Source organism: Homo sapiens, chromosome 13, assembly GCF_000001405.40.
Source record: "Homo sapiens chromosome 13, GRCh38.p14 Primary Assembly".
NCBI classification, from domain to species: Eukaryota; Metazoa; Chordata; class Mammalia; order Primates; family Hominidae; genus Homo; species Homo sapiens.
In genome coordinates this window covers 35,937,356-35,962,006 of record NC_000013.11, presented here as the reverse complement: position 1 = coordinate 35,962,006, position 24,651 = coordinate 35,937,356, and the positions used below count along the sequence as shown (strand labels likewise).

The window sequence follows — 24,651 nt, the reverse complement described above, 5'->3', positions numbered from 1 at the left end:
TAATTTCAAAAAGAAGTTTATGGCTTGATTGCTTCAGAAATTACATTGTTATGGTGATTTTGTTTAAATGCATCAATAACTATGGCTATCATGTATGACGATTTTAACCTTATTTATGTCTGATTACACTTAATATTAAAGTCAGACTTAAAACTTGTGGATAACACGTTGAAATTTGTCTAAATCAGAAACAAGGAGAGAACTTTAATTTTGAGATTTGCGTTGAATAACTATGCCTTTTTTGTGGTTTTAAACCTTTAAATTGCTGTTGATTGTGGTAGTTCATGCTTAGATCTCATTTCCTTTAGCATCAAGGAAGTTATGATTGGCGTGGACAAATGTTTCAGCCTTGAGGGAATTTTCAATCATCTACTTGTCAGGTACTTGAAAAGAATATTATTTCAGGGGATGCAAGGGGAAAGTTCATCTTAATTTAGTTATTGCACTGTATTCTTCACATGTAAAAGAAAAATGGATAATATACAGAAGGAAAGAAAATACAATTTTCATGCACTTTGGTCAATGTTGATTGCAGTTTGAATGCCTTATGGTTGTCTGAATCTAACAGCTGTTAGACCAGAATAATTTTCAATGTAAAACCAGTACAAGGAAAGGACAAACTGGAAACCACTGATTTATTTTGCTCTCTCTTCCATGGTAGTTGACTCTGAGAGTAATCTTGGAAGTTTATGTTTCACCAACATTAACTTAAGGGCTATACTGCTATTATTTGCTTTTCTCTGAACACTTGCATTGGGCCTGACATGTCCATGCATTATCTCATCAAATTCTTTCAATCATCCTGGGAGGTAGATGCAATATTATCCTCCTTCTCTCTGTGAAGGAATGTGTTGAGTAGGTGACTCAAGTCTCCCATTCATGGAATTGAGTTTTAAACTTAAGTTTCTCTGACTCCAGAGCCTATACTCAAAACCTCTATTATATGCTGTTCTATATTGCTGCATTGTTTAAAGTGAATTGGAATAGAAAAATATGTAAACATGAGCACGTTCTCATCCAAACAACAAAAGCATCTTCCTGTGCTAGGTAGATGTTCTGTACATAAATGGACTGGACCACTAGGGACATTCAGAGCCAATCATGACATCGTAAGAGAAGGCCATCAGTAATATGAGACAAGTTTGTAGAAGAAAAAAAGAATCATGTCAACTCATTCCTGATTTGTGAGAAACCCAATAAATAAAAATCAACCATTAGAAATTATTTGTGGAAAGCTCTGATTTTTTTTTGGCCAGGCATGGTGGCTTATGCCTGTAATCCCAGCACTTTGAGAGGCTGAGGCAGGAGGACTGGCTTGAGTCTAGGGGTTCAAGACCAGCCTGGGCAACATAGTGAGACCCCATGTCTACAAATTTTAAAAATTAGCCAGCTGTAGTGGTGAATGCCTGTAGTCCCAGCTCCTGGGGAGGCTGAGGCAGAGGATCACTTGAGCCCAGGAGGTTGAGGCAGTCCAGCCTGGGCAACAGAGACCCCATCTTTAAAATAAAGTAAACAAACAAATGAATAAATAAAACAATAAATAATCTGATTTTTATCCTTTCACTCTGATGTCCTAAACCCCTTTTCCCCAGATTGCTGAGTTTTATTTACTCTGCTTCCTTCCAACTAAAGCTAACATTTCTAATAGTTTTAAATGGCCCTGGTGGTTTTTTAACATTTGGGCAGAGAAGATGTGGCCAGAAGGAAAATTACTGCACATGGTGGATTTTTATTTTTAGAGAGAGAGTATTCATTTTTAAGGTGAAGTTGGTAGCTTTTGAAACCATGATTTGCCCTTGCAGCCAGAGGATGGATTAAGGGGGGAGAAAGGGAAGTAGAAGGAGCTTCTTGGCTTTATTGGAGGGGTTTAGTTTTACCTCTGCTGAGCTGGTAACATTTGCTCTGAAATTTCCTGTTATAGATTCTCCACTTTTTTTCTCTCCTCCTCTCTCCAGGAAAAGGAAAGGGATAGTCATGATGATCAAGCATTGGGGAAGAGAGGAAGGACACAGAAAACAATCTGTTGACTAACACAACCCTTTCCCAGGACAGGAATGTAAGCACATGTAGATGCACTCATGTACATGTGCACATAAACATGCACACACAGGTGCACACACACACACACACACACACACACACACACACACACGACTTGCTGTATTGGTTTTTTCATGAGCTCTAATTTCTAGGAGTGGTGGGTCTTGATTGTGCCCTACCCTGCCTTTGGAAATTACAGGAGCTGAAGTGTCCGGAAGCTGGTAGTCTCCCCTGAGATCATAGAAACAGCCAAGAGTACTGGCTCTGCACATGTTAACCATGGCTGCTGGAATTCTCCCCTGGAGACTACAAACTGCCTGCCCACGGGTTGAATCCAGGACATGGACATGTCTCATTTGGAATACACAATGTTTTTTATAAAACACGATTTTATCACCAACTTTTTAAAAATCAGGGGCTTTCAAATGAAAATCTGATTTCACTCTCTCACAGAAAATTAATCAATCTGGCCTACTTTCCTGCATGACAAGTGTTGAGCTGCCCCATTTATAGGTGGGGGGGTGTTCCAGGTCAGTGCAGTCCCCATCAATTTCCTACTGTCTGCCTGTGTTAATGGCCAGTGATCGCCCTGTTTGCATGGTGTTTTATTATGCCTGGCCCACTTCACTGTGTATGTTACCTGCCAGGTCTCTGTAGGTGTTTGAAGTCATGATGCTTTATGCCTTAGTTCATGCTTTGTGGGGAGATGGAAACCAGCCCCATGTTACTCACTCAACTCTAGATTTAAATAGAAAAGAATTAATTGTAGATGCTCTAATATACATAGTATACAATGAAGACAAAGAGGAAATATTGACCTAAGGTGTTTTCATCACCATATATAATTTTTAAGAGGCCATTAAGAATCAAGTTTGTATTCGTAGTTGTGTACCCACATCAGAATTTATTTGTAAAAACGTAATGTCTTGAAACCAAGCTTTCATTTTGAACTGTACTTTTTTTTATCTTACTATTGCCATCTCTCTCAACCTTTTATTAGCTGTGTTTAGATCTTAATACAATTATGCAAAAACAGTATTATTATTCAAACAATTCCAGAGAATGTTTCCATTTATAATTTTAAGAGCTCACTTGCTCTCAAATATATTTTTGGAAGAACAAGCATCTTTCTCCAATATTTTGGAAGCCATGTAAATGTCTTTAGTAGCTGCATTTAAGTATGGGTGAAAAAAGTAAATTTATTCCTAAAATAATTTTAGAATTCTAGGTTGCATTTGTACTGAATATCACTGTGTTTTGTGAGCAAAACACAGACTAATATGCTGCACAGAACACTCAAGAGACAAAAGGCTCTGTCCTCAGCTCATTTAGAACAAAATCCAAAGTTTTGTAAGGGCTCCCCTTATGGAGATAGTGGTGTTGATGGAAATGATGGTGATAATGGTAGTAATGGTGGTGGTGGTGGTATTGGTAGTTATACTGCTGTTGGTGGTACAGTAGTGGTGATGGTGGTGGTAGTGGTGGTGATGGTTATAGTGGTGGTGATAGTGGTTATAGTGGTGATGGTGTTGTTATAGTGATGATGGTGGTGGTGATGGTTATAGTAGTGGTGCTGGTGGTAGTGGTGGTTATAGTGGTGACGGCAGTGATAGTCATAGTAGTGGTGGTGATTGTTATAATGGTGGTGGTGGTAGTGGTGTTTATTATAGTGGTTATAGTGGCAGTGATGGTGGTAATGGTTATAGTAGTGGTAGTGGTGGTGGTGATGATGGTGGTTATAGTGGTGGTGGTGATGGTTATAATGGTGGTGGTGGTAGTGGTGGTTATAGTGGTGATGGTGGTGATGGTTATAGTGGTGGTGGTGGTGGTTATAGTAGTGGTAGTGGTGGTGGTGATGGTGGTTATAGCGGTGGTGATGGTTATAGTAGTGGTGGTGGTGCTAGTGGTTATAGTGGTGATGGTGGTGGTGGTGGTAGTTGTGGTGTGTGATGGTGATGGTGATAATGGTGGTGGTGGTGGTGGTTATAGCAGTGATGGTGGTAATGGTTGTAGTAGTGGTAGTAGTGGTAGTGGTGATGGTTATAGCAGTGGTGGTGGTGACGCTAATAATCATTTTGGAAATGTCAGCTTTGTGGGATTGTTGTTGTTTGAAAAACATCATTTACTTAAGAAGACTAATTTGCACTGTATAAAAAATGCCTTTTAATCTCAAGTTATATATGCAGAGAAGTAGATTCAAACAAGAAATAAAAATATTTAAAGCAACAGACTCAATACTTTAACGTTAAGTGACCTTTACAAATGTTCCTGGCAAAAGCATACTTCCATGGCTTTGGGAATATTATTTTACACAATCTCAGGCAGCAAGCCAGTGCACAAGAACATACCAGGCAAAGTGATTTATCTTTATGTTTTTAGCTCTCAAATATATGCCAATACTTTTGATACTTATAATTTTCTTGCAAAACTTTTTAATAATCTGATTTTACCAAAGAGTCCTTGTGAGAAATTGATGTAACATCATGTGTCAAGTCTCTCTTAGGGCCTCACACATCATAGGTCTCAGCACTCATCCCAGGCTCCTTCTAAAAAACATCAAGAGGGAAAGTCATAGCACCAGAATGCATTTGTGTGCATGTTGAGTAAGAGTCAACAAAATTATAAGAGAACAATGAGTTGCTTTAAACACATTTTTAAATCCTGACTCTATCTGAGGATGTTGCCTGACACAGATTTTATGGGTTGGGTTTGGTTCTCTGGGTTTGAAGCCTGACTTTTGTAACTTTATCTGCATGCCAAGATTCCTGTAAAGCACCTTACACTAGCTGATTAGTGACTCTTTCCCTTTGCTCCAAGTTTATTTTGCCCCAAACCTATTCTATTAATGGTGTTTTGTAGGCTTATAAACACTTAGTAGGAGAATCTCAGAGCATCATTTCTTTGTTCTTCATCTTGACTTTTCAAAATAGTGACCACCCTAACAAAGAACATACAATAAACTGATACAAGAATAAACATTTGAAAATCTTTTTTGAAGGTATAGTTATTTGCAAAGTTTTATATGAATGCTTTTGAATGGACTGAATCCAGGCCAGAGGAGCATTTTGTATGGGTTTACGTAGTACCACAGATTTTATTTTTTAATTGGAAATGTTAAATTTACAACAATTCTTCCTATTAAAATTTTTTAGAGAAAGTAATGTGGGAGCAGAGTGCCTGATGCTGCTTGCTTTGGACAGGGCATTTATGATCCAGTTTGCCACTGATGATGTTTTTTTTGTTTTGTTTTGTTTTTCCCCAGCCTTCGCTCATCCATATTCCCTACCTATCCCTGGTTGGTCCTGTGTTTATGACTCCTGCTATGAACACCTCTTGGCATTGGTGATGAGAACTTGAAGTGTTTCTCAGAATGACTTGAAGATAGCGTTATGTCCAATATCACTCCCCAGGCATTAAGCAGAGAACCAGCCATATGTTCAGTGCCACATTTTACCCCTTAAGGATCTCCAAAATATTCTGTATTATGTGGCTTCATGTTTCTCTTCATAGTTTTATTTCTTCTTTTTCCAATTATCACAGTAAGATGTTTCTGCCTAATTAGAAACCATGCCACAATGTTAACTACCTACTTGCATGAATCTTTTGTGCAATAGAATATAAGTTTGCCTCTCAGCAATAGAATATAAGTTTGATCTTTTCCTATCCCTGAAAATAATGAGTTCAATCAGATGGCTCAGATAAGCCAATTTCCTGGGCTTGGTCACCCTTAATCTTGAACACTCATCTTAAGGTAATTGATTTAGGTTAGCTTCTGGGTTCAGACCAGAGTTTATTTGTATCCTCTCCAGAGAAACTACTGTGTCACAGTTTTTATTTTCTTGGACTATCCTTTAATTCCTTAAGTGAAAGAGGGGCAAGTAGGTGAGCTATTCTAAAAAGGAGGTAGACAACAGTAAAGGATGTCTTAATGAGAGAAACCAGAGGAATAGGACTGATGTGGTATTAACTTGGCAAAAGACCAGGATTGGAAACCTTCTAAGTAAACTCTATTCTTCATACCTCTCTTTCCCAGATATTTAAGTTTAGTATTCTATTCTTAAATAATAGCCCCAAATCACTCAGACAGATGGTCACTCAGAGACCTACCTACTATGCCTTACTAGTATCAGCACTGACAGCAGTAGCTGCTCATCCCTGGTGTTCTCTGTAAGCCAGGCATGGAACTGATTACTCTACATACATTATCTCATCGAACCTGCATGAAACCCTACAGGGTAAGCATTGGTAGGTCCATTTTACATATGAGGAAACTGAGGCTTGAAGATGTTAAATAGTTGTCCAAAGTCACACATCTATTAGGTGGCCAAGCCAAGGCACCTGGTCAATATTTGTTACTAGGGTGTCATTTTACACTTTGCTCTAGTCTGAACGTTTGTATCCCCCCAAATTCCTATGTTGACATCCTAACCTCCAAGGCGATAGTATTAGGAGGCGGGCCTTTGGGAGGTGATTAGGCCATTAGGTTACAAGGGCATCATCCTCATGAATAGAATCAGGGCTATTATTAGAGGCCCCAGAGAGGTCCCTTGTCCCTTCTACCTCGTGAGGCTAAAGTGAGAAAGCAGGCCCTCACCAGACACCAGATCATCTGGTGCCTCGATCTTGAACTTCCAGCCTCCGGGCTGTGAGACACAAATGCCTGCTGTTTACAAGCCACCCAGTCTAGGATATTTTTGTTATAGCAGCCTGAATGGACTAAGAGACACATTTTTAAAAAGAGAATGAAATGTTAGCATTAAAAAAAAAACAGGATAGATAATAAAGGATGAATCATTTAGAATAGGTTGCAGTCTGCTTAGGTGTGTCTGAGTCCATGAAAGATGGTGATCCATGCATAAAGGGTGCATTCCTGGGTCAGAGGGTATGTTCAACAGAAGGCTGCAATAGCTGATGTCCATGTCAACTACAGCAGCTGAGAACACATCCAAGGAAGGAATACACTTTCAATTCCATAATTGACTTTTTCTGATTGACCCAGCGAATCAAATTGCTACCATTTCAAAGGAGAACTTTTCCTTTTTCTATTTCTTTAAGCATCAGCCTGTTAGTTTGAGTGTTATCTCCTAGCCTATTCTGAATTTCAACAGTATTATCCATTTTTTTTAAAAAAAAGTCTTAGAGCTTCATGTTTTAAACTTGTAAAGAGTACTTTGAGGATCTTTATTTTCTTCTTTCTGTTAATTATTATTATTTAACTAATTTATTTTTTATTCACATATTTTCCTCTGGCCAAGATCCAGAGATTCTTTAAAGAATTTTTTATTAGAAGCTTCTAGCCATAAGAACTAGAGTAAAATAAATTATCACTTTCATAAATTTATCATCAAAGAATGAAAACAAAAATGTAAAGAAGGGATGGAGAATGTGTTTTATGACAATAACGTAACACGCTTCTAATATTTGGCTATAAAACTGATTGTAAACATATTTTAGAACCAGAAACATATGGAATTACATGATTATAGGACAGAAAAATTCACAGTGGTTGACTTATAATATCATGTGGCATAAAAATGTTCATTGCTAAGAATGGAGAGAAGAAGCCAAGTATGGAATGAAATTGGAAGAGGAACCTCCTCTCAATTTAGTTTTGGCAGGACGAGGAGCCCCATATGTGCCAAGTTTTAACTGAAAGCTAATTATAATGGTCACATTACGAATTGTGCAGAAAGAGGAAGGTTGTTGACTTGGCACCTTAGATACATAGGTAACTAGATTTTTTTTTAAAAAAAAAGCAGTGTAAGCATTCCTTTTTGGTAAAGAGCATCTCATTAAACTGTTAGCTACAGAACGTTTAAGCCTGCCATCTTTAACTGGTATTAAGAAGTTTAAGAAATTACAAATGAAGTATTTTAAAGAAAAAGAAAGTTAAAACAGAAATAATGTGCCATACTCGATAATTGCAATAGATGGAATGAATTTATTCGTTTTTACTTCTGTGATGGTTTATTCTCTTGCTTAAAATATATTATTTAAATGGATGACAGCAAAATATTTTGGTGTCTCTGATACAATGGAAAACACCTGATAAAGACACAATGACTTCTGTGGCTTCAAATGCATCCAGGGCTGCAGAGATATCCCCTGTTTCGTTTGAAGAGGGCGCTCTTGTAAAGAAAATATCCTTGCCTAGGCCCTGCTGAGAAACTGGCCCAGCTCCCTGAAGTCAGCGTCACCATGGAGATCTTATTCCAGTGAGGGGGAATGGATTCCACGGTCCTGCTTTGGAAATGTGTAAACAGCAGATGCTTTTATTGCCTTTGTTTGAATCTCTGCCCTTGCAGAGCAACACAGGCCGGAAGCTCAGAGGAGAGGAAGTCCATATTTGTCTGTAGCGTTTTGTTTCCTCGTAAGCAGCTTAGTCTCTTGGGACGACTGTGCGTAATGACAAGTTAATGGAAAAGATATGAATTCAGATTTCACATAAAGAGAGTCAGAAAAAGGAATATGTCTTCCTTGAGCCAAAGGAATAATTCGAACTTCCTTCTTTTAAAAAGGGGGGTTTATTAGACACCGTTTTTATTATATACTATTAATATACAATATATGTGGTAACTATTGATCATAATGATTTTATCAGCTGAAATTTATAATATGCAAATGTGAGGGTGCATGATAGACTCATTTTCCTACAGCTTGGTAGTTAACAGCCTGCATTTGGGTTCTAAGTGACCTCCGTTCAAATTCCTACTGATTTTCTGTTTAACCTGGCTGGATTTTTCATCTGTAAAATGGGGATACTAATACCAATAAATTATTGTCAAATAGAGTTTGTCTCTTTCAGAGTTGAAAGGATTCAGTGTTATCATGTATATTGAAGATGAAATGTAGTAATGTATACAGAACTATTCCTGTTGGTACATCACACCAAAAAGAGTATTTTCATATTTATTTTATCTTTATCATATAATTACTGTGATAAAGCATATTAGAACCAATGCAGTAACTGATAAGCAAGAGAATTTAAGTCACTCATCCAAGTTCATGCAACAGTTATAGGCCAATATGGGCTCAGAACCCAGGTATCCTGACCCTCGTTCAAGGACTTTTCCCAGCACATCTGGCAATTATAATCACCCATGTTTTTTGAGGTATTGTGGGTATGGCATAATGCTAAGCACCATCACATAGAGTCTCATGCAATAAATGGACTGTTTTTCATTGGAGTTAAAAAAAATTCAACATTGGAGTTAGATTTCCGTATAATAACCAAAGCACTAAGTAAAAACTGAAAATTAGTCAACAGAATATTAAGTGTCATGTACTATAAACAGATTACCTGGCTTATGAATTGCATATATTACACATACAGTATCTTTTGCAGTGGAGATATTTCAACAGAGAGCAGTTTTCTCAGAGGAATAAAAATCTCTGGTTGTCACGAAACTAGAAGTTGGTGACAGATCTCAAGAGGCCCTGAGTTAAGACAGTGGTCCTTAGCACATTTGTTATATCAGGTGAATATGCTTACAAATGACTTTTCGCAGCATCATTCTGTGGAAGCCTAATGGAAGTCAGTGGTATAAACCGTGTCCCACCTTTGTGTTAGCAGCTTCTACCAGCTTTCCACCCATTCTCTGATGCTAATTCAAAGTGTGTCTTTCTTTCATCAAAGTAATGATACTGATAGAATCCTTATTCCCAAAGCAAGAATAGGCACGCGTTTGCTACATTTTCTTCAAATCAACTTAGAAAAGAAGCATGTTGGTATAAAACTTAGGAGGTACATACTGTGTGTTTGCTTTTTTAAACATTTTTTCCATTTATATTACGTATGCACTCGATTTATACTTATTTAGAAGTAAAAATACATTTGGGCTAATAAAAAAAGCTAAACTTTATTGAGGACTTATTCTCTTTGGATTCATCGTCTTAACTCATCTTGAAACAACTGATATGATAAACCGAGACACAAAGAGATTAACATCCAAGTGGAAGTGCTGGGTTAACTCAGAAGCTGGGCTCTGTTGATAGTGCTGTGCTCTTAGGGAACAGCTTAAGCAGACATCTCCATGGTGCCAAAAGAAATGGCACCTAACGCGAGACACTGCCTTTGCTCTGACTGAAGCTAGGATCTACAGAAACAGGACTCATTTCAAGATAGCTGATGGAGGTTTCCTGATTTGCGCAAGTCAGTGATGGTGGCAGAGCAAGAGCTGGAGTGATATCACCTGTCTCCAGCTTTTGACAAAACCACTAGAAGGTAATGTAAGTCACTCTCGGCTGAATTACTGATTTGCAACAGGAATTATTTGGATCATAAGTCTGTAAACATATACTAGAAAAGAAGAGGTGATGGATAAGGGCAGCCATATTCTCAAGACCTAGCCCAGTGACTGGCAAATAATGGGCACTCAGTAAACACGTATTGATCAATGGGTAGAGGTTCAGAGCAGGGATGAGTCACTTTGGATTAGAGTGGATAGAGAAGGTAGGGCTTGAATCTGCAACTGAGCAATAGGCTATAGGAGGGATTCGAACAGGCAAAGAGTAAGAAAGGATACTAGATAGAAAAAACAAACACATAGGAAAGAACAAGCCCTTTTTCAAGAAAAACAGGTAAAGCAGATAAATTGAAACATTTTTCAGGTTAGGACATAGTTCTTCCATCCGTCCATCTATCCATATCATCCATCCATCCATCCATCCATCCATCCATCCATCCATCCATCCATGCATCCATCCATTAATCCATCCATCGTCCATCCATCCAACAAATGCTTATTTAAGTATCAGGCACCATGTCCCAACTAAAAAAACCGGAAGCTTGAAAGGTAGGTTGGGGTCAGATTTTGAGGCATCTGGAATGCCAAGCTCAGAAAGATGAACTTTAACTTGAGGATAGTAAGCCATGGATGGCTTTCTGAGCCATGGAGAGAGATATTGAAAATTTGTGAAGGAAGAGTAGACTGACAGAATTAAACAGGATGGATTAAACAGAAAGGCGGTAGGGCTGAGAAAATCCACTAGAGTAAAATGCCAGGGTCCACAAGCAGGAGGACGAGCCCTGGACTGACTTGGTGCTGGGAGTAAAGGAGAGGAGGGTGGGAGAAAGGCCTGGGTTTGAAAGTTATTGCAGGGGCAGAATCTCTGACCGTAGTGAAACCACAGAGAAGAGCAGGCTCTGACAACATCAACTCTCCTGGGAGGTACAGGAGCATGGAGGTGGAACAGAAAAGCTTGGAAAGGTGCTTCTCCACAGGTTGGACATCTCTCTTTTCTCAAACTTGATACTTCTGCCTTTGCGTCTGCCCTGTATCTAATCATGATGAATGCTTCTAACATCTGACACCTACTGAGCAATGAATTCATGGCAGAGAGGCCAATTGTCACTATCCCTTTGTAACAAGAAGCATGTTTTTCATCCATAAAACGAATCTTTTAAAAAACTGGTAACTACACTGAATCTTTAGGACACCAGGTTTCAAAAGGAGTAACACTGCATAGATAAATAAAATCAGATTATTGTGCGAAACACTGGTTTTCAATTCCTCCACCTTTTTATAATTCCTTAATATCAGAATGTACAGTAATGCCTCAAGGAAAATTCTCAATGTACATTTGTCTAAAGAAGAGGGTTATAAATCTCCCTCTGTTATTCTTTCTTGTTAGTTGGAATACATTACAGCTACCTCTGTATCAATGATAATGCATGAGCGCGTGGATAATTGAAGTGCATTGAAGTGCACAGATTATCCTAAATTCATCTTTATTATAACCTTGTGTTTAAGTCTCCTTTGCTATCAACTCTTTAAGAAGACTTCTAGCAAGGAGCGGTTTTATAAAGTTGAATGTGATCTACTGACCATACCTACCTTTTCCAATGGGAAGTTGTGAGCAGGAAAGTGGTTACATGATTTCGAACAGAAAGCACGGAAAACATCAGAGTTTCTGTTAGTTCAACAAATTCTCTCATTTCAATCACTGAAAAGTGAGAGGTAAATGAATGCATGTTGCTTGGCACTGAGGTGACTTGCCCCTGCCTTTTTGTGCTGGGTGATGACAGTTACTTTTCTCTAACAATCATTGCATTCCTTTTATATTCTTGGAGTCTCAGTGTTGGAAAGAACATCAAAATTTCATCACGTTTCATTTCCCGCTTGCCAAAAAAAAAAAAAAACTGCCCAAGATGGATCATTGTTTGTTCTGTTCTTTAAGTCTCAGACTTGGAGAATGGTCATCAGTAAACTGATGGAAGAGCATTGGCTAGCAACCTGCTTAAAACCTGTTGTAGTTTTGATGATGGTTATTTTTCCACATAGAAGTGGCGTGAAATATGCACACACCGATGAGTAGGATGTGGTTAGCAATCAGATGTTCTCAAATGCAAATGGTGGGAGTGGGAATGTGTTTCCTTTAAAAATCAATATTTTTCATCTATCGGAGATACATCATCAGAATGTTTGATGTAGAGTAGGCCCATCATAAATGTCTGAGTGAGTAAATTAGTTGGCAGTGAAATATTTATCAGCTGCAGAAGCATGGCCGCCTAGGAGCAGAGTGGATAACTGTTCTGTCTTTCCTGTGCTCCCAGAGATCTTTTCACCTATGGCTGTCAGCCCACTTCCAAAGGGCACTCTGAGGAACAGTATCTGTCTGCATGATGCTGTGTGAGAAAAAAGTTCTGGAATCAAATAAGTTTGGGAAATACTGGATTTTTCTATCTCTTCTTTGACATCATGGTGTACATTAGAACATTAAGGGTTTTGAGAATTTGGAAACAAATATTTTCCAAATCTGTTTGGCTTTAGAACTCTCTTTTGCACAAAACGTATTAATCATCCACACTTTAGGAGATACTCCTCTTTTGGGTTAATTGTTCACATTTGGGTGGAGATCATGACTTCTTCATTTCTGCCAGATGCTGATTGGAGCGTGGTAGGCATTCAGTAAATACTTTCTGTAAATGAAATGTAAAATGAAAATGGCCATAGGGGGTTGATTGAGATGATGCTAGAAGAAGCTATGGTGTCATGAAGGTAAAGATGAACAGGATTGGGTTGGAGTCAGAGAGAGGAGTGAAATGGAGGGTGGGTTCTGAATTCAAATGGTCTGCTTTTAAACCAAGTAGAATATCAGAGCTTCTGACATCTCTCTTGAAGCCCTTCAGTTTATCTTCCTCAGTGATTACAGCCTCCCTCTTAAATCCCCTGTGTTTTTAAGCTTTCATGGGCAGACTAAACACTGACAACCGTGGATAGTACCTCATTCGTGCTTAATGTTGATTATCAAACTCTTATAGAAATTCCATTTTAAAAACTTCGGCCAAGTGATTATTTAGAAATGAGACATTATTTGGAAAGACAGTCTAAAGCCCACACATCATTGCATTTGGGGACTCTAAATAATGCTGCGTTCTCTCAACTTACTATTCCATGTCTTACAGCACATGTAATGTGTCCGAGTAGCATTCCCAGGGACTAACAAAAAAGCAGAACTCCAGAGGTGCCCACAGAGGAAACTGCAGACAAGTCAGAGAGGAGCGCATTACAAACACAGGGCCAAACAATCGAGCACTCCAGAGAGGCTTGTCTCTGGTCCTCAAATATCCAGGAGAAAATGCTATTACAACATCTATTTCATACAGCTCTGAATGGGTGCCTGCAACTGGCCATCTTATGATTCGTCCAAGTGGTCAAAGGAAATTGAAAATAGTTAAAAATCAGCAGTGTTCCTAGTGTTGGTATTACACATAATGTGAACAAAATATTACATAGTCTATCCAAAGACAGAGAGCAAGATGCTTGAAAATTATTCATTTTGATCACATTTACTTGCAAAAATGACATTTAGCTTTCTTAAAGTTCTCATTGGAGAGTAAGTCGAGTAAATATCAAAAGGTTGCCTTAAAACTTGCCTTTTGCATGGCAAGAAGAAGTTGGGTGGCCTGGGAGTTTTAGAGTTTGGCAGAGCTTGGGTGGTGGGCATACACTTACCATAATCTCTCTAAGCCTAAGCAATAGCTTAATTTATTTATTATTATTTTTAAAAGAGTTTCATTTTTCTTTCAACTAGAGGTAGAATGGGTTTAAAGGAGGTGATGTTCATATCATGAGAGAAGTATTTTTCTTTGGTGATTATCGTGTGTATATGACAGCATCAATTACTAAACATATTTGTTGTTAAAACCATATGCTGACTTGTGTTGCTATCAAAGAGTATTACATTCCGAAGAGGAAAGGGGCACTGCACCTCCTCTATTATGGAAACAAAGGGCTCTTACCTCAGAGCCTGTTGATATATCAAGTAATAAATGTGACAGTTACTGGTTCTATTTTCCTTATCCTGTTTTCCTGCAGAACTGAAATGGAACATGTTTCTTACTAGTAACAGATGCTCGAACCCCTCTTTTGAAATTCCTCTGTGGAAGCTGCCCTGTTGATTCCATTAGGTGGGAAGGGGCTTTATGCAGATGTCTGCTCGTGGGGTTGCATTGTTGTAATTGCTGTTCTACCACCCTTGCTGAGTGCCATGCTTTTCTCTTGTAGGTGATGTGCCTTCAGGACTTTTTTGGTGATGATGACATTTTTATTGCATGTGGACCGGAGAAGTTCCGTTACCAGGATGATTTCTTGCTAGATGAAAGTGGTAAGGAAAAAAAAAGTTCAAAACCAGGGGAAATTTGAGGCAGCTTTCGAAAATGAGCTGCACCAGGCCAAGATTATGTCAACTCCAAAGCTACCAAATCAGTTTCAGATCCTCACCCAGCGTGTCTTTTCCATATCTTGGATTTCTTTGATTTTTTTTTTAAATATGGAAAACAGATGAAATGAGAATTGGAAAAGTTAAATCATTTAGAAGAATAAGTAACTAATGTCTAATTTATAACCACTTAATAATTAAATTGATGTTATGTAGAAAATGATGGTGTGGAATTCTACATTTTTAATTTTTTTTTCACGGTTTTTAGCTGAGGGATTTGTCATCATAAAATAATTTAGGATGTTTCTAGGCTCAGCTTTCAGGTGGCTTCCTTTAATTCCTAACCAGGCAAGTGGTTTGCTTTCCCTTTTTCCTTTAAATACTGTAGAATTCATGTGGCATTAGCATCTGTGAGGTATCAGAAAAGAGAAGTTAGCTTCCTTCCATTAACAAACTAAATGTGCTACTCTGTAATAGATAAAGAGGGGATGGTTATAAAGAGGGAAATACATGTCTTAGGAAATGAATGTGAAATGTTGTGGCTTTAAGAATGATATTTTTGATACTATTAATCATCTGAGAATCTTAGCACTATCACAGGTAAGATTATTCTACCAAACAAAGATTATTGTAGCCCTTCTTTGATAATGTTACTCTAATTTAATTATGGGAGTATTGCATATTTACTGACAACCCAAATTCTGCGTAGTTGGAAATGCTTTTTGAAATGATAATGAATTTTTTGCTTAGATGAATGCAGAAAAACAAATCAGTGAGCTTTTGAAATAGTGGCTGAGCAACACTTGAGCATTAACAATAATGGGAAAAGTGATGTGGTCACTTGACTTGACTTGACTTTCACCTGTTCTACACAGGAGTGGTCTCACTCCAACACTGCAGATGTGTGTTAATGCATAGCATCTATATTATACACATATATACATATTATCAGTTGTATGCATTTAGGAACTACAATTCTTTCATTTAAAAATGACTTAGAGGATGGGCATGGTGGCTCACACCTGTAACCCCAGCACTTTGGGAGGCCAAGGTGGGCAGACCATTTGAGCTTAGGAGTTTGAGACTAGCCTGGGCAACATGGCGAAACCCTGTTTCTACAAAAATTAGCTGGGCATGGTGGTGCACGCCTGCAGTCCTAGCTGTTCAGGAGGCTGAGATAGACAGATCATCTAAGCCCAGGGAAGTCAAGGGTGCAGTGAGCCCTGATTGTGCCACTGTACTTGGTCTGGGCGATAGAGCAAGACCCTGTCCCCCAAAAAAATGACTTAGAGTGTGTAGGGAGGGATAAGAATTTTTAAAATTGCCCCTTTCTCATGAAAACTTCAGATGCCCAATAAGAATATAAATAGATGTGTCATGTGAAGAGATTTATTTTGGTTCAAGGACCATAACTAGACAAGTGGTTTGGCATCCCTTTTTCTCTAAATAAGTTGACTCAAATACATTCCATCTTTATTTCTGACCTACGTGCCCTTTGAGGCACAGATTTTTGTAAATATATCACAAGTATAGTGTCCTCAGGGAAGGTCCCCCCCACGCCACCATTTTAAGAACAGCTTTGCCATTGTGTAGAACAGGTGAAAGTCAAGAGTCAGACAGAAGAGTTGACAGCACGGTTTTGAGAAAAATAAACTGCCCTAACTTTCCATTTAAAGAAAATAGCTGCTTGTGATAGAATGGTTTGGCAGACCAGATGCATTCTGAAATGAAAGTCTGTTTGTTGCTTTGATATAGAAAACAGCCTGTCAAACTCGACCTGGAATACATGTCTTTTTCAAACCAGCAAGCAGAGTTGGCCACAGCTTCCAAACTCTGGGGTCTCTATCTAGGCCCCAGATGGACTTGGGGCCCCTTCTCCCTGCTGGCCAGGCTGGGTGAGCTCACACAGCTGGGCTTCCCCTCCGCAACAGCCAATGCGCTCTCCACCCAGGATGCCGCAGCTACTCCTGTGCACCTGCTATGACCAGCAGGTAGACTTTCTGAGAAGTACAACAGGAAAATGCCAGAAATTCCATAATAGAGTAGGTGCACTGCCCCTTTCCTCTTGCTATTTCCCCCTTAGAATTATTTCTCAATGCCCACAGGCTGGGTGCAGTGGCTCACGCCTGTAAACCCAGGACTTTGGGAGGCCAAGGCGGGCAGATCACCTGAGGTTGGGAGTTCGAGACCAGCCTGACCAACATGGAGAAACCCCGTCTCTACTAAAAATACAAAATTAGCCAGGCATGGTGGTGCATGCCTGTAATCCCAGCTACTCAGGAGGCTTAGGCAGGAGAATGGTTGAGCCTGGGAGGCGGAGGTTGCGGTGAACCGAGATCGCACCATTGCACTCCAGCCTGGGTAACAAGAGCAAAACTCTGTCTCAAATAAATAAATAAATAAAAGAATAAAAAAGAATGCACACAGATTATATACGGAGATATGCACACAAGGGCTCACATGCAAACACACACACACACACCCCAGGACACCTTCTCCATCTTTTGTGGTTTGGCCTTCTGAAGGACCACTTCAAACTACTTAGCTGAGAACTTCACATCCCTTCCCTGGATGAATAATACCCTAACCCTTTCTTGGTGTGAAATACATTTGCTGAGTAACGATGTCCTCCCCCATTCCAAAAGAAACACATGGATATGGAAGGAAAGGGGCTCAAATAGAAAAACGATCTAAATTGAGATTTTACTTCCTTGGATGAACTTACCCCAAGACTAAATTCACACATTGACAACTGCAATTTTCCTGTTGCTTGTACAGCATGTTCTAGCGCTAATGTATTAACATTTGAATCTTTTTTTAAGTGCTCCGAGCATGATTTAGCCCAGCTTATCTGTACTTGCTAAGTGGTATTTGCACATCGATGCTTCATTTGGCCTTTTCCATAGTAGCTTCCTTAAAGGGGTGTCAGCGGTGGGTACAGACATCTTCAGAATTACTACTCTTGCCCTGCGCAGGGCTGTGCTTCATTTAAGGTGCCAAGAAGTGGCCTTTTGCCACAAGGCGGCACTTTTATTTTAACTTTCCAAATTAACCTGGCTCCCAGTGAGTTCAGGATTTAGCAATAATACATCCCTCTAATTACTGCTAGGAAATCTCCTAAGGATGTCTCTTAAGGTCCATCCTTGGAGAAGATTTGCCATTGTAGATGAGTATTTCATGGGGCCACATTGGAGCCAGATTAATATCGGAAACTGCCAGGGAGACTCCTTCCTCCCCTAAGTTTGCACATTCGGAAAATAACACCTTCCTTGTTCTAGTTCAGAATGTAACCATTTTAGCGATATCGTCATCAGTCAGTAGAATCTTAGCACCTTGGAGATGGTGGCTAGTGCACTATAGATAGAGACAAGCAGAGAGGCCAGCAGATCCTTCCCTTGCTGTCTAATTTAGAATGATGAAACAGAGGCAGGGAAAATGTCACATTGGAGACAGGAAGCTCAACATGGTTTTGCTTCTATGTTGATGACAAATGGACGAATTTGTAATCCGTAGCCATTTAAAAGTGATAGGGTTTTGTTGAGAAAGGATCACCCCATGCTTGGGAGGGACAGTGAACTCCTTGGGGATGAGCCTGATGCTGGATATCAATTCTTGTCCAACCTGCTGGCCTCAAAGCCAGTACCCCCACTCTGCTTGGCTTGTTCCTTCACCCATTCATTCCACTGCCATCCGGAGCCTCACCTTGGCCAGGCCTGCTGCGTGCTCGGGAGTCCAGATACCTGTCATCCTCTCTTTCATCTTTTCTCAGATTATTCTGTTTTTTTATCAACTAGTTCCTAACTGCTCTTGATTCTGATGTTAATAGGCGTTACCTTCAATGTCTATTGTTTTGCTTAGATGCTGAATGAATTTCCTAGGGCTGCTATAACAAAGTACCACAAACTGGGTGACTTAAAACAACAGAAATGTGTTGGCTCACAGTTCTGAAGGCAAGAAGTCCAAAATCAAGGTACTGGCAGGGCTGTGCTCCCTCTGAAGGCTCTAGGGAAGAATCCGTCCTCATCTCTTCCAAGTTTCTGATGGCTGCCAGCAATCCTTGGCTTGTGGCAGCATCATCACTCCAATCTCCACCTCCATCTTCATGTAACCTTCTCCCCTGTATGTCAGTAGAATTTCCCTCTTCTCATAAGGACACCAGTTATTGGATTAGGACCCACTCACATTCAGTATGACCTCATCTTAGTTTGGTGACATCTACAAAGACTCTATCTCCAAATAAGATTCATTCAAAGGTACCAGGATTCGGACTGGAACATATCTTTTTGGGGAACAAAATTCAACCTAAAAAAGACATTGGTGGGAGCTGTTCAAATTTTATTTGAACTTGGATTACAAGTAAACTAATGTTTATTTATTTGTTTGGATCTGTCCTTAGATACTTACCGTTATAGCATTATATTTGTTAGTAGAATACATCAACAACAGAGCTGTGGCTGCCCCTCATCTGACCCTTCACACTTAGGGTTTCTCACCTCATGGATCAGAGGAATGCTGTCAGACAGTCTGAGAATTTCAACAGTGCATTTGACAGAGCCCCTCTTGAAGTCCCTTGGACTAAGATGAAAATATATAGTAAATGGTATAGGTGGCTGTATTTTTAATTGATTTATCTTCTCTGTCCAAAAGGTACTGATTTATAGGCTGATGTCAAATGTGCCGGAGGAGATCTCTATTAGGATTGTCCCATCAGGCCCCTGAAGGAAGGGATTGTGTTTGTTTGCTGAGAGTGAACAGGTTTCACACCACAAGGTTCTGCTTTGGACTTGATATGGTTTAGCATAGTTAGAAGTGTCCTTTTGAGGCCAGGCGCAGTGGCTCATGCCTGTAATCCCAGCACTTTGGGAGGCCAAGGCGGGTGGATCACGAGGTCAGAAGAATCACGAAGTCAGGAGATCAAGACCATCCTGGCTAACACAGTGAAACCCCATCTCTACTAAAAATACAAAAAATTAGCTGGGTGTGGTGGCATGCACCTGTAGTCCCAGCTACTCGGGAGGCTGAGGCAGGAGAATCACTTGAACCCGGGAGGCGGAGGTTGCAGTGAGCCAAGATCACACCACTGCACTCCAGCCTAGGCAACAGATCAAGACTCCGTCTCAAAAAACAAAAAAAAAATGTCCTTTAGAAAACATTAAAGCCGTGTGGATTCGAACCATCAGGGAGGAGAGCTGATGTGGTCAAAGGTAGAATGAGGATCCGAAAAGGTTCTAACAGGGTGGATTGTATCTAACAAGATAAACTTTAATTCATATAAACAAAAAGAAGAGCTCTAGGGTGTGAAAGAAAGATAGAAAGAAAAAAGCCAGCCTTGCAAGCTTACTTAGGAGCAATGTCGTTTTCACAGCAGCACGTGTGAAATTTACTTTTACTTGACTGCAGGCTTAGTATGAGATGTTATGTGATATGGGTCATTTGTGTGTGGATTGTAGGGGTATCATATTTTTATACTGGAAAATGTTTTTGCCCCTCTGATTGAAGATGGTAAATATGAACTGAAACAAAACATTAAAATTTAAAAATGTGTTATTTAATATTCATAAAACTAAGTAACTGTAGAAGAAATGTAAACAAGCTTTCAGATTTTTGTATGTTTGCTGTGTTTATAATTCTGAAGTCATTAAAGCTCAAAACTGCAGGAAGACTTTTGAGACGCAGCGTGCGTGTGCGTGTGTGTGTGCGTGTGTGTATGCCCGTGCACGTGTATGTGTGCCTGTGCACGTGTGTGCATGTGTAGTGCCCGATCTCCAGGAAATACCAGTTCTGCTTCTCCCTGCACCAGACAGACGTGCCTGTAGTCCAGTGTTGTTCTTCCTGGGTATGTGATTCTAGAATGGACATTTCCTCAGCTTCTCTTATGGATCACCATGGTGTTGGGTACCCAAGATCTGCTTGGTAAATATTTCTAGAAATATTCTATTCTAACCATTTTCCTGGGACTCATGTCCCAAATAAGACAGAAGCTGTATCAGGTACCATTCACCATGGGGTTCTGATCACTTTCCCTAATTCTGGGTGATAAGAAAATAGGGCTAGAACCTATTAGGTTGCTGCAAAAGTAATCACGGCTTCTGCCATTAAAAGTAATGGCAAAAAAAAGTGATTACTTTTGCACCAACCTAATGGAATAGTAGGAACAGTATTGGAATAGTGGGATTGTGTTGAGAAGACACAGTCTCATCCAGGCTCTATGTCCTACTTTCTGTGTGGTCTCTACATCTCCAAGCCTGCTTCCTATTCCCTGAAACACATTTTTTTCCTGTGTTGTAACGGACCTCAAATGAGACAATAAATGTCAAAGCACATTCGAAACTGTGTTCCTTATTACCCAGTGAACGATGCTGGGGAATGACACCTCAGCTGAAATATACCTCCTAGTGGATTGCAGCTGGACTCAGCCATGTAGCTTCATTTGTGGGGCTTAATTGGAGGCAGATGACATCAAGATCTGCTTTTGGTGCTCTTTGGAACCAGAAAGCGATTACTACTGCTTTCTTCCACTCTTAACTTTTGTTGCTGTGGTGGAGGTGAGAGGGAATTAAGGCTCCTTTGAAGATATCCACTCTTCTCTGGAGGGAATCTCTAGAAGATTAAACTAAACCACCTGTAGAAGAACCAATCAGACTTCTAAAAGTGACAGTGTTCAGGAGTCCCAGCCCTTGGTAAATGCTTCCCTCTCTCCGTGCCCATGTTGATTTGGGTTAAAGAGACCTGATGGCCCTGCTGCTTTGTCCTGAGGCTGGTGATGCTAGGAAACCAGAAGGTTAATGGAAACACTGGAAGATGCTCACAGTCAGGACAAAGACCACACCTCCTCACAAACTAGTTTTTGAGCTACTGCTAACAAAATCCATCCATTCTTTCACTCATGCAGTCATTTATTCAATAAGCTAACTTACTATGTACCAGGCAGTGTGCTAAGCTCAAGTACCTGCAGACAGTAACACTTAGGTCAGATGTGACCCTTCATACTAACTTATTTTTTTTTTTTTTTGAGACGGACTCTTGCTGTGTCACCCAGGCTGGAGATGTGACCCTTCATACTAACTTATTTTTTTTTTTTTTGAGACAGACTCTTGCTGTGTCACCCAGGCTGGAGTGCAGTGGCGTGATCTCGGCTCACTGCAACCTCCACCTCCCAGGTTCAAGCGATTCTCCTGCCTCATCCTCCCGAGTAGCTGGGACTACAGGCACATGCCACCATGCCCGGCTAGTTTTTATATTTTTAGTAGAGACGGGTTATTGCCCTGTTGGCCAGGCTATCCATACAGACGTTTAATATTGTTTATGTGTAAAGATGTCAGGGGATCTTAGGTGCTGAACTTTGACCCAGAATATTAAATATTGCATATTATTCTAGTGGCTTTTATCTCTTACGAAACATACTGTGGTAAAATGACTAGTGATTTGCAATAGACAGACAACTCTTTGTAAATCTAAATTTTAATTGGATTATAAGGCCTGTTTACATTGCATCTGTGGGCAGATTTCTTTGAGATGGATGGTATGTGTTGGTGCTGGCATATTTTATCGTTTCAATAGATGTTAATTCTAGGAATATACAGTTTTTATTTTAAAGAAACAGTATAGGGCCGGGCATGGTGGCTCATGCCTGTGATCCCAACAGTTTGGGAGCTGAGGCAGGTGGATCACTTGAGCACAGGAGTTTAAGACCAACCTGGGCAACATGGTGAAACCCCATCTCTACAAAAAATTAACTGGGCATGGTGGAGCACACCTGTAGTTCCAGCTACTTGGCAGGCTGAGGTGGGAGGATCGCTTGAGCCCCAGAGGTTGAGGCTGCAGTGAGCAGAGATTGCGCCACTCCTGCCTGGGCAAAAGAGCGAGACTTTGTCTCAAAAAACAAATAAACAAAAGCCAAACAACTGAAAAACTAATATAGCTATCTTGTTGAATAATTCTAAGTTTTTGTGGCTCTTCATTGTCTTATGAGAAAAGGATATAAAATCTGGTATGATCATTCCCGATTGCATTGATTTGTAGAATTCAGCCTGATGTCTGAAATAGAGGGTTTGGGAGCTTTTGTCTGTTTTGTGTTCCGAATACAGGGCACATTGGCTAACGTGCTTTGCTCTCGTCAGCTAGTTCCCATTTGCCTCCAAGCAGTGGAAAGGCCACAAGGGTTTCTGGAGACGTTCCCGATCATAGCTACCTTTTAGCTCATGCATAAATATGAAATGTCCCGGAACATAGTGATAGTTCCAATTTAATCAACAGCCAAACTATGGATACATATAGAGTACTGCACCTTGGAGACAGACTCTAACTCAAGCTCCAGCTAGTTCCTTCGCTACAAATAGATAATTTTCTACTTAGAAAATCAAGGCATTGTATAACATCTGCAATCTTTTCTTTACATTTTCTCTTCCGGTCCTCACAGGCCTTCCTTTTTATTGTATTCAGTAACAGTGACATGAATTTTTGATGTGGAAAACCCTACAAAATATAGAATTATAGGTGAATCCTGGACACTAAAGGTCTTGGAGGTCATCAGCTTCCCCTCCCCTTTGATGCAGAAACCCTCTCCACAGCATCCAACAGTTGCTTCTCCATCCCCAACTGGAACCCTTTGTTGATGATGGGGTGTAAATTTAGAAAAAGGCCAATTCCACTGTCCGCTAGGGCTTTTTTTTTTTGAGACAGAGTCTCACTCTGTCACCAAGGCTGGAGTGCAGTGGCGCGATCTTGGCTCACTGAAACCTCTGCCTCCCGGGTTCAAGTGATTCTCCTGCCTCAGCCTCCCGAGTAGCTGGGACTACAGGCACGTGCCATCATGCCTGGTTAATTTTTTGAATTTTTAGTAGAGATGGGGTTTCACCGTGTTAGCCAGGATGGTCTCCATCTCCTGACCTCGTGATCCACCCGCTTTGGCCTCCCAAAGTGCTGGGATTACAGGTGTGAGCCACTGCACCTGGCCTAGTGCTCATTTTTGACAAGTTATTGAGCCCAAATTAATGTCTCCCCAGCTTGCACATAGTCCTCCTAGTTCTGGTCTCCAGAGTAACAAATACCACCCACTGCCCTCATTCTAAGGGGAGCTTCCCTCCTACCCCTTCCCTATGGTCAAAGTCACTCACTGTAAACTCCGTTATTTCTTTTCCTTCTAGACCAAAATGACGTATATCTTTCCTCATCTTCTCTCCTGTTTTCCTCAACTTTCCAAAAAATGAAGTCTCCTTTCTTTTCTAAAAATCAATGATAGTCCCTTGTCTTTGTCTTCTCTTTCTCTTTGTGACCTTGCCTCGTCAGTGTTCTGTTCCTACTGTTTCGTGGATTTTTTGTTTTACCCTATCTATAGTCTCTCTTCTTTCAGCCCACAGCCAGGCCCAGGTTCCTCCTATCCTAAAAGAGCCTCCAGTCATCTCTGTCATCTCACCAAACCACATTGCCTTTCTTTCTCTGCCAAATTGCTAAAAAATAATAATAAATAATGACTGTCCTTGAAGCCTCCACTTCTTCAACCTGATCATTTGTTATACCATTGGGTAACTGGTACATGGAACACACAAGAATTATGGGGTTTTATCAGTTTTTTTAGAAAAATTGTCTTCCCCCATCCTTTGAGGTTTATGTAAGGCTGGAAGTTCCTTTCTTGGCACTGGATGGCACCTCAGCAATCCCAAGATTTTTCTGGTCCCTCCTAAGATAGTAAAAAAGTCTGTGGACTCTTCTAGATAAAAATTGCCATCATCATATCTAGTCCTACATAATAGTCATTCAAAATGGGAGTTCCATTTCCACACCTAGCTAGATCCCAATGTAGCATGTGGTGAGTCCCCTACTCTGCAGGACAAGGGGAGGGTTGATGACTTCTCTCCTGCTCACTCCCTCCTCCCCGCTGTTTTGATCCCTCCAAGATTGGAATGGGGATGAGGTGGGTGGGGCAGGATGATGAGAAAGGAGAGGTGG

The 24,651-nt window shown here is 40.2% G+C and overlaps 1 protein-coding gene across 6 annotated transcripts in view, besides 2 other annotated features; it reads left to right on the top strand.

Moving 5' to 3' along the window:
- Positions 1-24,651, top strand: part of DCLK1 (doublecortin like kinase 1) — a 363,288-nt gene that overhangs the window by 169,933 nt on the left and 168,704 nt on the right. For all 6 annotated transcript variants that reach the window (NM_001330072.2, NM_001330071.2, NM_004734.5 and 3 more), the window contains exon 4: positions 14,550-14,649. In NM_001330072.2, coding sequence (NP_001317001.1) covers positions 14,550-14,649 — 100 coding nt within the window. The remainder of the gene's footprint in view (positions 1-14,549; positions 14,650-24,651) is intronic.
- Positions 8,091-8,200: an enhancer, noted in NCBI's record as "active region_7588". NCBI's record gives its function as "activates an Ori minimal core promoter by ATAC-STARR-seq in GM12878 lymphoblastoid cells {active_cell/tissue: GM12878}" and the evidence as "EXISTENCE:reporter gene assay evidence [ECO:0000049][PMID:35858748]".
- Positions 8,231-8,360: an enhancer, noted in NCBI's record as "active region_7587". NCBI's record gives its function as "activates an Ori minimal core promoter by ATAC-STARR-seq in GM12878 lymphoblastoid cells {active_cell/tissue: GM12878}" and the evidence as "EXISTENCE:reporter gene assay evidence [ECO:0000049][PMID:35858748]".